The sequence below is a fragment of the Homo sapiens genome, chromosome 2 (genome assembly GCF_000001405.40).
Source record: "Homo sapiens chromosome 2, GRCh38.p14 Primary Assembly".
In the NCBI taxonomy this organism is placed as follows: domain Eukaryota; kingdom Metazoa; phylum Chordata; class Mammalia; order Primates; family Hominidae; genus Homo; species Homo sapiens.
In genome coordinates this window covers 105,063,833-105,077,919 of record NC_000002.12, presented here as the reverse complement: position 1 = coordinate 105,077,919, position 14,087 = coordinate 105,063,833, and the positions used below count along the sequence as shown (strand labels likewise).

General features: G+C 36.6%; 1 protein-coding gene across 3 annotated transcripts in view; it reads right to left on the bottom strand.

The window, feature by feature from the left end:
* The window catches only part of MRPS9 (mitochondrial ribosomal protein S9), a 61,892-nt gene that overhangs the window by 22,041 nt on the left and 25,764 nt on the right, over positions 1-14,087 (bottom strand). For all 3 annotated transcript variants that reach the window (NM_182640.3, XM_047445533.1, XM_011511644.3), the window contains 2 exons: positions 6,545-6,607; positions 6,431-6,461 (listed from right to left, as the gene is read on the bottom strand). In NM_182640.3, coding sequence (NP_872578.1) covers positions 6,431-6,461; positions 6,545-6,607 — 94 coding nt within the window. The remainder of the gene's footprint in view (positions 1-6,430; positions 6,462-6,544; positions 6,608-14,087) is intronic.

Genomic DNA, 14,087 nt, shown 5'->3' with positions numbered 1-14,087 from the left:
TTTAAGTAAAGTTATATTCAATTTATCAATAATTTAGAAAGCAGCAACTCTGGAATATTGTCTTCCCTTAGAGAACCATGGAATTTTTCCAACTGTTCAGATTTTCACTTCTGATCTTTAACTGAGTTATCATAATTTTCTATATAAATCTCATATATTTTGCAAGTCTTATTTGTGTATTTTAGTTTCTGTTTCTCTTGATACTGCCCTCCCCTATTCAGTTATCTATAATAAAAACATAATTTTACACAAGTAACACATACTTCCCAGATCACATGTTAAAATTCCGTTGCCAGAACAAGGCGGGAGTTTATTGTTCTGGACTCTCTGTGCATTTACCTATGTATGCCTGCATGAAATAGGGTTGTTTGTGTGGTTCTTTTAAAGATATAAACGGTATTAAACTGTATTTATGCTACATACACCATTTTTTTACTTGCTTTTTCCACTCAAAGTTACACCTCTACTAGCACAACTAGCTCTATCTCACTCTTTTTACGGCCTGTATATTATTCCACAGCATGAGTTTATTTAGCTACCCTATGATGAACATTTAGACTTTTTCCAATTTGTTGCTGATACAATATTTACAATTTCCAACCTGATGATTGTGATAATTGTCTCTCATTATTGTTTTACAAGATGTTATTTCTTTTCTTCTTCTTTTTTTTTTTTGAGATGGAGTCTCCCTCTATTGCCCAGGCTGGAGTGCAGTGGCACAATCTTGGCTCACTGCAACCTCCACCTCCTGGGTTCAAGTGATTCTCCTGCCTTAGCCTCCCGAGTAGCTGGGACTACAGGCGTGCGCCACCACGCCCGGCTATTTTGTATTTTTAGTAGAGATGGGGTTTCCCCATGTTGGCCAGGCTGGTCTTGAACTCCTGACCTTGTGATCCACCTGCCTCGGCCTCCCAAAGTGCTGGGATTACAGGGGTGAGCCACCATGCCCATCCATAAGATGTTATTTCTGATCTCTGATATTTTCAAATGCTTACTGGTACTTTAATTTTTTCTATTTATGAATTGCTTATTTGCCTTTGCTCATTTCTCTAGTAAGCTGCTTTTGTTAATTTGTGAGTAATTTATTCTAGGTATCAGGCCTCTGGCATGTTTCAAATTTCCTAGTGTCTTTGTCAAAGAGAAATTTTTAACTTCAACATAAGTAATTTGTCATCTTTGTCCTTTAGTTTTTGTGATTTTAAGGACATAATATCTATTACTTTAAAAGTATTGAAAGCTGTATGTATATTCTTCAACTAGCCACCTTATTTCTGTTCTAGAGTTTGAATTTCTTAACTCCAAAAACACACAATAATTTTTAAAGTCTTGACCAAACTCTGTTATCTTCTGCATAGTCTATTTTTCAGCATTCCATTAAATGAATTGAGAAAAAGGAGGTACATGTATGTATATACGTATGTATGTGTCTGTATGAATATGTAGGTATGTATTTGTATAGTTGGAATTCAGCGTTTTTAAAACAGTTCTTGTCTGCCAAAATACATAAAGGAAGTGAAAGATTGCAATTCATTTGCTACCAGTAAGACCATCATGTTATTTAGTTCATCATTACATGCCATTCCACACTGATTTCTTTGTGTGTAGATGTGGCTGCCACAGAGTCATCAACTGACAGGATGCTCATATGATCTCTGCAGGATCAGCATTTCGCCCAGTAACTATACTGTGGCATGCTTTTATAAGAGGGTATCATTTTTAAAATTTTCAGAACAATTCATAGTTTAAATGTTTTGAATTCAGGTACCCAAATAATGGTAGTCTGCTGAAATTCTAATATAGTTTTTAGTGAATGTTTTCTATTTTCTAAGTAGGCAGTCATAACATCTGTGAATAATAATCGATTTTCCTAATTTCTTTCAGTTTTCTAATTCATACTTTTTTAGCCACACTTTTTTTTTTAACCATGCTAGGTAAAACTTCCAAAACAATGCCAAATAACACAGGCGAGTATGCACATAACTGTCTTATTCCTGAACTTAATGGGATCTATTGATATATTTTTAAATTTGATGTGTTTCTGTTTGTCTTGATATGCTTTCTCAAACTAAGAAAGTTTCTTTTTATTTCTAGGTTGTGTTTTTACCAAAAAAATTAATGCTCAATTTTGTTAATTAACTTTTTTATTGAAATGTTTTAACCTTGACTCAATTAACACAGAGAATTACATAAATCATCCTTATTTTCCTGGAGAGAAAAAAAGGCCCTCTGGTATACTCTCTTAATATAAAGCTTTACTTGGTTTGCTAGTGTTTTATTTAGTGACAACAGACTATAGCTTTCTTTTTCATGAAATTTATGTCCAGATTTGATAATTGTGTGACCCTCTGAAGGGAATTTAGAAGCTTTCATTCTTTTCTTCTGCTCTACAAGTTTAAATGATAACAATAGTTACATCCTCCTTCAAGGTATGTCAGAGCTTCCCGACAAAACCTTCTAGGCCTGGGCCTTTCTCATTAGACCTTTGGCGCTCCTTTATAACTTCTGCAGCTTTTAGATTAACACAGGGGTACCCAACCCCTGGGCCACAGACAGGTACCAGGTTCTATTGATTTGTATTTGCTGTCATGACTGGTCAACTGGGACCAGAGTGGGTGTTTCGCAGTAAGAGCACTTGGTTCTACAGTAGGGGTCCCCAGCCCCTAGACCACAGACCAGCATAGCTTCATCTGTATTTATAGACATTCCCCATTGCTCACATTACCGCCTGAGTGCCACATCCTGTCAGATCAACAGTGCGATTAGATTCTCATAGGAGCGTGAACCCTATTGTGAACAGCACATGCGAGGGATCTAGGTTGCATGCTCCTTATGAGAATCTAAGGCCTGACGATCTGTCACTGTCTCCCATCAACACCACATGGGACAATGTAGTTGCAGAAAAACAAGCCCAGGCCTCACACTGATTCTACATTACGGTGAGTTGTATAATTATTTCATTATATCTTACAATGTAATAATAGAAATAAAGCTCACAATAAATGTAATGAGCTTGAATCATCCCGAAACCATCCCCCAACCCCTGGTCCGTGAAATCGTCCTTCACAAAATTGGTCCCTGGCGCCAAAAAGGCTGGGGACCACCGGTTTAACCACTATTCTCCTGATTGAGACAACTGTGGCAATTATATTATTCTTTCAACTACATGTCTGAGAGTCAGTTGAGTCTGGTGGTCATACATATGTGTGTGTGCCACAACTGCCTGGGCCTCCCTACATTCTGGCTCAACTATTTCCTGGCTGTTACGTCCTTGGTAAGTTAAACTCCATGTGCTTTTAATTCCTACATTTGTGCAGTGGGGAAAATTACAGTATCTACTTAAAAAACCTGTTGTGAAGAGTGTAAGTTAACACACAGGAAGCACTTAGAACTATGCCTGGCCTACTCTGTTTCAATAAATGCTAACAATTCTTACTTGAGAGATTTTTCAAGTTAGAATAAAGTTACCCATAACAACTGCATACTTTAAAATTACCCTCTGAATATTATTATTTACAATTCTTAATATTGTCCTCTTATGTTTTCTCTTTTTTCCCTGGCCAGATTTGCTAGAAGTTGATTGATTTCACTAGCTTTTTCAAAGAATGACATGGTTTTGTTTATCATACCCCTTCTTTTCAATTTCTTCGCTATGTTCCTCTATTCTATTTTTCTTTTTCTGGCTTCCTGAACCGAAAATTTAGTTCATTTATATTCAGTCTTTCTTAATTTCTAACAAATATATGCTTGTCTCTGTATAATACAATGTCCATATTCCATAGGATTTAATAGGAACTGTTGTCATTGTCATGTCTGTAACCTCAATTTTGATTTTCTCTTTAACTCAACAGTCATATGGTTCTATTGATCTTAACTCAGAAAAATCGAATGATATGATTTTTACTACTTGGAATTCGTTAGGTTTTCTTTATGTCCAATTACATCATAATTCTATTAATAGTCCATAGGCCTCTGCATAGAAAATGTATTCTTTGTATCTGTAACTATAAAATCATGCTGTGTTATTCAAATTCGTTATAGCCTTAAGTTAACGGCTTTTGTTTTGAACATTTCGATGCTAAATGTTGGTGCAAAAAGGTTTGTGGTCATCAAATCTACTCAATGGAGATTAGGTTTTATCAACATAAATTAACATTCTTGCTTCGTTGAAGTATTCCTCACACTCCTTGAATTCCATTTTGTCTAATATGAGTGCTACTCTTTGCTCCTGTTGACCCAGTAGTCATCTTTGTTTCACTTAATATTTTTATCACTTGCTTTAAAACATACAGAGCAAGATTTCATGTTAACTCAATCTAGAAGCTTCCATCTTTTAATAAGGAAAGTGTTAGTACACTATAAGTGTCAAAATCTATCCAAATCTAAAATTCACTGTTACTTTTTTAGCATACAAAAAAATCAGTTTATCCTATATTTATGAAATACAACAAAATTGGGAGGTAGGTAGGTAAGCAACAAAAAAATTTTACTAATTCTAGAGGAGTACTGTTTACATACAGTTACATATAGTAAACTACAACTTAAGATAATCCTACCAGGAGTGACATATTTTCAAAATAACACATGGGCATTTTGCAGGGATATATAGAAGTTTCAGTTGTCACAACCTGGCTGCTAGTAACAATAAACTTCTAATACTGAGAAGCTGGTATGATTTGAAAGAACAAACCAGTCTTAGAGGGGCAGATGTATAAGAAGAGATGCAACTAGTAGAGATATAAAGAACAAAGAGAGAGAGAAATAGGTGAGGAGCCTGAGAGGTTTAAAAAAATAGAAGAGTTAGTAAAGAAGAAGAAGAAAAAAAAATCACTGTCATTACAAACATTTACCGAAAAGCTACTAGGTGTTTAATGTAAGTTACTGTGCCCTGTGCATAGTTTTACTTCTGTAACACTGAGTTGTATCTGCAAAAGTGATGTGCATTTTTAACATAGTCTTCATTTATTATTTCCCCAAAAGCTATTATTAAATCGATGGTATAATTTATAATCAACCATGATTAAGAACTGAGGGAATACAAATGATAGAGCATATTTATAAAAAGATTCAAAACATTTATAATAAGATTCAAACTAAAAGTTATCATTTCCAAGAGTGAACTGGAATAAGAGAATAAATGCCTAGCTTTGAATAAAAATATGACTTAGCAGAAATACCACTGCAAAATAAATAAGTCTTCTATAGAAATATCTGCTATCTTACCAATTTCTATTTAATTCTAAACACACTGATAAAGCGGCCTGCGTATTGAGAACCTGTGGCCACCAAGCTATTCTCAAGTAGATCCACACATTTTTGCTGCTGAGTTTCATGCTTACTAATAGTTATGTTTACTCCCAAGCCTATTTTATTACAGTTGTACTTATTTCTATAAATACATGAATTAAGTATTACATAAATAAATTAAATATGAGTGCAAACATAAAAGTTGCTACTTCTAAGAAAACTAGGTTGAATGCTCTAGAAAGGCAAGTTGCTAAAAAAAAAAAAAGTTGTGTCAACTTCAGTAAGGTTGATGGGAAGAATCTGTAGAAATACAAAAATATTCTGCACTCAGATTTCTTAGGAAGTGTAAGTTCACTGCTCCACTGCAAGAAAATCAAAACTGAAAGACTGCGATGATGCATCAGCAGCATGGTTACATAAAAGCAACGGGGAGCAGCAGACACACTCAAAACCACCAAACCTCTAGGGTCACAGCAAAAGCTTGATGGGTAAGTACAGGTTACATTTTGAGTGTTTTTTAAAGAAATGATTTCTAGCTTTAATACTTTTTAAGTTAACAGAGAACTACTGGTCCTCACTGGATAAGAGGTTTCTAATGTATAGTAAATATATTATTCAATTTCTTGACAACCTTAAAGCTTGCTGTGTATTTTCTTCAATTTTTTTTTTTTACACATTTAAAAGATAAAGAGAATATCTTAAGAGAAGCCAGAGAAAACAGGAGACACAATTAGAATGATGGCTAATTGCTCATTAGAAACTATGTAAGACAAGACAATGGAATTACATCATTAAAGTATTGAAAGAACAGAAAAGAAAATCTACAGTCAGTGAAAATGTGCTTCCAAAATCAAGAAAAGTTTTAAATTTTCATATAAACAGAAGTTGAATTAGTTGCCAGCAGATCTGTACCAAACTCTCCCTCAAAAGGACATATTGGAATGCAAATAATTAGTATGACATTGGTATAGTCCTAAGCTCTAAACACATCTAATTTTAGTATTTAATTTAAAAGATATGGTTTGCAAACTTCACTCATTCATTGTTACAAAATTTTTTGACCTACTTCACAACTACTGTGACACAGGAAGGCCACCCTACGATATGTGAGCAACCGCTGATACATAACCTAACACCGGAATACGGTAAAGAAAAAACTGTTTCTCTCATTCTTGAACAAACTTACCTCTTTGTCTTGGAAAAATCTGTTCAGGATGCTGTAAAATAAATTAATAATGTATTAGATAATTATCATAACATATAAAAGTGAAATTTTTAAAATAGTAATTAAGATAACTACCTTCATTACTGGCCTGGCTCGTTTCTCAAACAAACCACTTGGGAAAAGGTAAGCAATAGCTCTCTGAAAATATACACAAAGGTTAGTTAACAACTGTTATATAAACAAGGTTAGAACTAATAGTTATAGAGTGCTTTCTATATGCTGGACATTGAACTAGAGTTTCAAAGCATTATCTTACTTCATAAATGTTTCAATGGGATGATAAAATTACTACACACAATCCAAAAAGAAAAAAATTTAACTATTAAACTGGTTATTGACAATTTTCAAGTGTCAGCTTTAAACATGTCATTCCTTGAATATGAGAGCACAAATAATCTCTCTTTTAAGGGATCACTTAGAGATGCTCCTGTCTGGATTCTGTGGAAATGTGCTTAAGAGCAATTGTTCCAGCTCCCAGCTGGTCGTGCACATATCAAAGAGCAGGCTGCAAAGAGCAGGCTCTAAGTCTCACCCATCATGACACCCCTGATGTTTTTAGATGTTCTTTCAACTTTTTCCAGAGTTTTTAAACTACACTCTTTCCAAACAAGTTCTTCTTCCATGTCTGTTTTTCAATAGGGATGCTACTGGCATTGTGGGTGTGACAGCTCCATCATAGGCACCCTTTTTCCATACTGCAGGTCATTTAGTATTCCTGGCTTTTTTCCAGTCGGCATCAGTAATAACCAGTGCTCATGACAAATCTCACCCCCACACCTTTCCAAATGCCCCTACGTCCTAGGGAGCAGCACTGCCTCCCAGCTGAGAACAATAGCTTAAGCCTTTTATAGTGTCTTCTCCAATGCCCCGCCTCACAACAACAAAATGTACACTTTCCTTCTTGTTGAACAGTGCCGATGAAGAGTCTATGGCCTGGGATCCAGTAGTGCATTTAAATACACTTCTGCTCATTTAGAGAGCCTGTTCTGAGTGGGCCTTCTCTGCCTACCCGCATAGTAAATGTGCTGGATCAGACTCTGCCACCAAAAGGAGAGGTCTATAATTTGGGGGTATAAATTCAGTCATATTAGGGAGCCTAATTGTGTCTCTGGATCAAGCTTCATTCTCTTATTCAACTTTTTTCAGAACAAAATTACACTTAAAACAAAACAAAAAACCTAGGTCAGGCACGGTGGCTCATGCTGGTAATCCCAGTACTGTGGGAGGCTGATGTGGGAGGATGAGGCCAGGTGTTATAAACCAGCCTGGGCAACATGCTTTGTCACGCAGGCTGGAGTGCAAAATAAACAAACAAATAAAAAACTTAGATCAAACATCAGTGTGCCCCTTTAGCAAACTCTTTTTTGTTTTAACCAGGTCCCTCCCCACCTACCCCCTTCCTTTGCTGCAGGGAAAAAAGGTAGACTTTTTCTTTTATTAGATCAGAACCTCACTCTGTCGCTGAGGCTGGAGTGCAGTGACACAATCATGCTCACTGCAGCCTTGACCTCCCAGGCTCATGCAATCCTCCCACCTCAGCCTCAGGAGTAGCTGGGGCTAGAGGCTTGCACCATCACACCCAGGTAATTTTTTTTTTTTTTTGTAGAGATGAGGGTCTCACTATGTTGCTCAGGCTGGTCTTGAACTCCTGAGCTCAAATGATCTTCTTGCCTTGGCCTACCAGTATTGGGATTACACACATGAGCCTTAATAAATGATACTGCAACTGATTGCCATTTGGAAAAAGATACAACCAAAATCCAAACCTCACATCATATACAGCAGAGTAAACTCCAAATGAGTGAGAGGGCTAAACATACAAAATAAAAACAAATACTCACATATGACATGAGTGAATTCCTTTATAACTAAGCAATGGAAAAGTCTTTCATAACTATGACTCAAAATTTATAAGTAACTTTTTAAAAAAGATTGACAGGCTGGGCCTGGTGGCTCACGCCTGTCATCCCAGCACTTTGAGAGGCTGAGGTGGGTGGATCACGAGGTCAGGAGTTCGAGACCAGACTGGCCAACGTGGTGAAACCCCGTATCTACTAAAAATACAAAAATTAGCTGGGCATGGTGGCGGGCGCCTGTAATCCCAGCTACTTGGGAGGCTGAGGCAGGAGAATCGTTTGAACCTGGAAGGCGGAGGTTGCAGTGAGCTGAGATCGCGCCATTGCACGCCAGCCTGGGTGACAGGGCGAGACTCTGTCTCAAAAAAAAAAAAAAAAAAGATTGACCAATTAAACTATATTTGTAAAAGAAGTATATGGCTCATAATAAGATAAGTGCAATTAAAACTACTGAGAGAACACATTTTATCTAATAGGACTAGCAAAAGTTCAAAAGTCTGACAGCACACTGTTGGCGAGGCTATAAAAAAACACCCTGCCACCTTGCTGGTGGGAATGCCAAGTGCTATAACCTCTTCAGCGGGAAGGTGGGAGCTTTCTAACAACATTACATATATATTTCCCTAGCAATCTGACTCAATGAATTTACCCAGAAGATACACCCCTATGAATACAAAAGAACATAAGCACGTGTTATTCACTGATTTATGAGAACAAAATACTGAAAACAACCAAATCCCCATGCATAAGAGGCTGGCTGAATAAATGAGGGCACATCTGTGCAATCAAGTACTATAGAGCTGTAAAACAGACAGAAAAGCCAAGATACAAAAGAAATGTACCTAGAATGCTGCTTTGGTGTAAGAAACAGAAAAAGAAAAGACGTATAAATACAGGGGGAAAATACACATAAGCTTCTTTTTGCAAACATAAAACACAAAAATGTTAAGTAGAAACCAATAAAAATGATTTCTCAAGGGTTGGGTGAGAGTAGAGGGAGGGGCATAGGGATAAGGGCAAACTCCTCTGGGCCTCCCTTGTATAGTTAAGCCCTGAAGCATGTAAATGTTTTATGTATTAAAGAATAATATTTACAAAGAAACTCTAAAAATATAACCAGAAACAAATAACAACAACAAAATAATTGCAAAGAAATCTTCATCTTTACTTGGTAGGCTTATAGTCAGTCATAACACTGATACTATAATTCTGAAATATTTTATGTACACTGCAGCATAAAGCAAATAAGTAAATATATTAATTTTATGGAGACTGATATTTTATTATAGAAGAGATATAAATGTACAAGGGAAAACCCTATAATGTTAAGTAATATAAACTATTATCTTAAAAACTATTTCCTGTAATATTCAAAAAATATTATTTCCTAGTTCTGTTCCCTGAAAAAGCATAAAGGAATGGAACTTTAGGAGCAATGGGAGGGTCAACTGGTTTCTACATACATCCCAGTATAAGGAACCAAGTACCTTGGAGAAATGGCTGATTCTAGGTGTAAGGCAGACAAAGCACAAAATGAGTCTGAGACATTCTCACTATCTCTTTTTAGAGATACTGAGATCCCATCTCTACAAAAAAAATTTTTAAGAAGTGTGGTGGCACATGACTGTAGTCCCAGCTACTCAGGAAGCTAAAGTGAGAGGATTGCTTGAGCCCAAGAGTTCAAGTCTGCAGTGAGCTATGACAGCATCACTACACTATAGCCTGGTTGATGGAGCAAGACCCTGTCTCTGAAAATAAAAGAATAATGATAATGCTTCACAACACACTCAATATGTGACATGCACATTCATGTGCATGCACACGCACACATGTACACATACACACACACACACACTCAGGAGAAGGGGCAAGAAGAAAAAGAAAGCTACTTTACAGAACAATATGTTATAAAAGTAAAAGGAGTGACAGAAGTAGAAAATCACCATTTTACAACTTCCAAATTAACCATCAATTTCAGGCAAGGATCACCAACAAATGCTAAAGCCACTGGCTGAAAGGTTACTAAAGAATGGAAAATTCGCATGAACTCAGAATATTACCCTATAGACTGGTTACAAAGGGAAAAGGCTACTTTTACAATAAAGAGGTCTAGTGGTCATCACTGTAACCAAGGGATCAGTCACATCATCATCAACAGCAGGACAAACTGACTATGTACCTCTCAGACTTCGTGGATGTAACGAGAAGTATACAATATCACCTAAGCAGTATCCTTTATACATTCTAAGTCTGATCACGAGAAAGCAAGCAGAAAGCCAGAATGTGACACAACTGTACAAGACAAGTGGCCTGGATTCTACAAAACAATTAGTCAGCTACAAAGACATTCTGGGGAAAACTGAGGAAATTTTCACGAAGATTATATATATGGCATATAGAATTATTATAATTGTATCAGATGTGATAATGATATTGTGGGAGATAACAGTATGAAGAATGCAAGCATTTAGGGGTTAAGTACATACTGATGTATTTGGGGGTTAAGTTTATAATGTGCAGTTTTCAGTGGATCAATAAAAAATGTTTTACATATACAAAGCGATAAAGAAAATGTGGCAAAATGTGAAAATCTGGCAAATCTAGGTGATGGGGGTATGCGTTTATATTTATTCAATGAATATTCAACTTTTCTGGAAATTTGAAAAGTTTCAAAATAAAAAGGTGGGACAAATGTTAAAAATTTAAAAATAAATAAGATTTTCCCAAACACAACCTGTCTCAGCAAAGCCAACACTAGCCTACAGCACTTGTGGGCCATCTAGACCTCAGGCCTCGTTCTCAGTCATACAGGGCAGCCCAAGGCTGGTTGGCATCTTAGCAAAGGGACCACTGAAGCCAGGGCCTGGATCAGAATACTAGATGGCGTGGAAGACTAAGCATAATTCTTCAACTTAGGGTGAACACACTGCAACCACAAAGGAGACAATTCAACTGAGTTTCAAGCTGTCATCGGCAACATTTCCAAATATGAAAATTACTGTTAATTTAGGTGACCAATGAATAGAATCCTAGACGGAAATGAAAATTGAAGAATTCCAACCTACAGTTGGATCTGTCATGAAGACTAAGACAGAAAAGTCATGAGGAAGCTAATTGGTGGAAACTGAAAAGAAAGCATTGATTGCAAAGGATGTCTGGGGCTTACAGGCAATATCTCTTTTAAAAAGACAAAAACAAGCCAACAAAGAATTCGCTAGAAGTCTTCTGAAAGTATCAGAAAATGTGTCTTTGCCTTTAAAAATTTTTCTCAGCTAAAAGTAAATTAATACACACTTATTAATTTATAATCCCTCACTATACTAAGTATTGTACCAAATACTGTGGAAAAGGTCCACAGAGCAAAAGATACCATGTCAGATAAAAAGCACTATTGCAAATTCAGTGAAAACAATGAAAAACAAAAGATGAAAGAAAAATGAACAAAAGAGGGAATAGGAAATAAAATAAGCCAGTTGTTTTAAAACCAAATAACAAAACATACAAAACAGAAAAGGCACATTCCTGGCACGCTGTCTGCCATCTGTTTAGTATGCATGGAATAGTACTAACAGGACCTAACCTATTACTTCCATTTATCTCCTATGGGCATTCTATGCAGATTTTTTTCTTTTTCTTTCTTTTTCTTTTCTTTTACAAATTCTGAAGCAAACAAAGGACTACCTGGCTATGAAAAAAAATTATGTTGCTTTCTGTGTCTGCTTAACTTTCAGTTACCACACAGTTGTTAAAACACAAGTAGATGAATATCCTTTTGAGATAAACAACAAATACATATAACAAGAGAATCTTGAGTGTTAGTACTGAGTTGAACAGCCTACAGATATGTTTTGGGCAGACCATTATGTGCTATAAAACAGGAAAATCTTTACTTCCACTAAACATTGCAGAGTTCAAAAGAAAGGAAGCAGTGAACACGAAAACATGGTGAAAGTGTAAATAATAACATAATCCTCACTGTGTCTTATTATAACCATAAGAAGACTTTTCAAATACTACCACTCCCAGTGATTCTGATGTGCAAGGATATCAATTTTATCTAGTTGTTGTGAGAATTTAAAAAGGTATTTATAAAAATACAACTAGTAGTCATTCACTAAATATTAATTAACTATACAAAAATATTCAGTTTTGTAAAGCACATTATTTCACATAAAATAGCATGCATTCATGAGCTCCATTTTACAGACCAAGAAGCAGCAGTTAAGTAGCTTACACTGAAGTAAATGGCAAAGCCAGAACCTGAACCTTCTGAAATTTAATTTCATAATGTACTCTCCTTTGTCCACACCAGGGAACCAATCTTCTCTCAGATAACAGATTCACTTCTTCACTGACATCAAGGATATCCAGCTATTTAGTAGTAAAATTAGGAGAAAAAGCCAAATGTGCTTAAAGAGAAAGAAATAGATTATTTACCTAAATACATTTTACTCAACAAATATTTATCCCACCTGAGTTCTAGGCACTCTGCTAGTTTAGAAAGATAAAAATTAAGATATGGCTCCTGACCTCATTCTATCAGTGGAGACAGATGTATACATAGTCTCAAATATAGGGGCTGCTGTAATAGTACACATAAAACGGCATGAAAAAATAATATACACAGGACCTATGATAGAAATACTTACAGGTTACACAGAGGGTACAAAGGAGAGTGGTCATCTACTCTTTTCAGTGATACTTTGCATCTTTCTCTTTTTACCAGTCATTTCTTCCTTTCTAAACAAATGCCTTTGCAAATTGTTTTGTCTGCCTGGAATACTGTTGTTCTACTTCTCCACTTAACACATTGCTGTTTGTCTTTCAAGATCTTTCAAGATTGTAGACCAAATGCAGCCTTGTCTGGAAGTCCTCCCTATTCCACTGGGCTCTCCATTACTTCTCTTAGTGCCACCTTAGTCAAACAGAGAACGAGCCTCTTTCAAGGTCCACACCATCTGGCCATTCCGTTCCCTCCCCATCCTTGTCACTGCCTTCAGCTTCCACATCGCTCACAGCACTCACAAAGGGGTGAGGCCCACCTTTCTCTTTTCCATACCAATGATGCCACATTTGTGAGCAACCTCAAGGATCATGTGAAGCATCCATCTAAACAAGACTGTGCTCCTGGTGGCATCTAGGCCCATAAACAACTCAATTCTCACTCACATTCCTGTCCTGAGAAGCATCCACCCACTCCCTGAAGTACCCACTGCTTTCTTCCCCAGATTTCAATCTGGCCTAGCCATAATTCTGGTCCTGTAATTACTTTGTCAAGGGTCACTGAGGGCTTTTTCCAAACCCTGTGACCTACTTTCGGGTCTCATCCATATGAGACCGCTGTCTCCCTTCCTTCTTGCAGCCACATTCCCCTCCTACCTCTCTGAAAGTTTCCTCTTGATCTCTCCTAAACACACCTCTGCTCATCCCTTAAGTGCTGCTTCCTCAGAGTTCCATCTTTGATTCTCTTCCTTTCTAGCAAATTTCTGTAGGGAGAGAGACCAAATCTATTTCCGTAGTTCTAAACTATTTGTCAATTGCTTTAGGGATTTTTCCCTTTATGTATCCAAACAGCACATCCAAAACTGTTCCTCAAATAACTTATTTTGCTTTCTACCAGTTCTTCTTTCTCCTATGTGCTGTTGCCAAATCTTTGATTTTACCTCGGTCGTGTCTGCAGGTGTGTTTTTGAAGGCAAAGGACCTTGTCTTAGTCAATAATTTCTCACTTCAGAATTAGAACACAGCAGATACTCAAAGAAT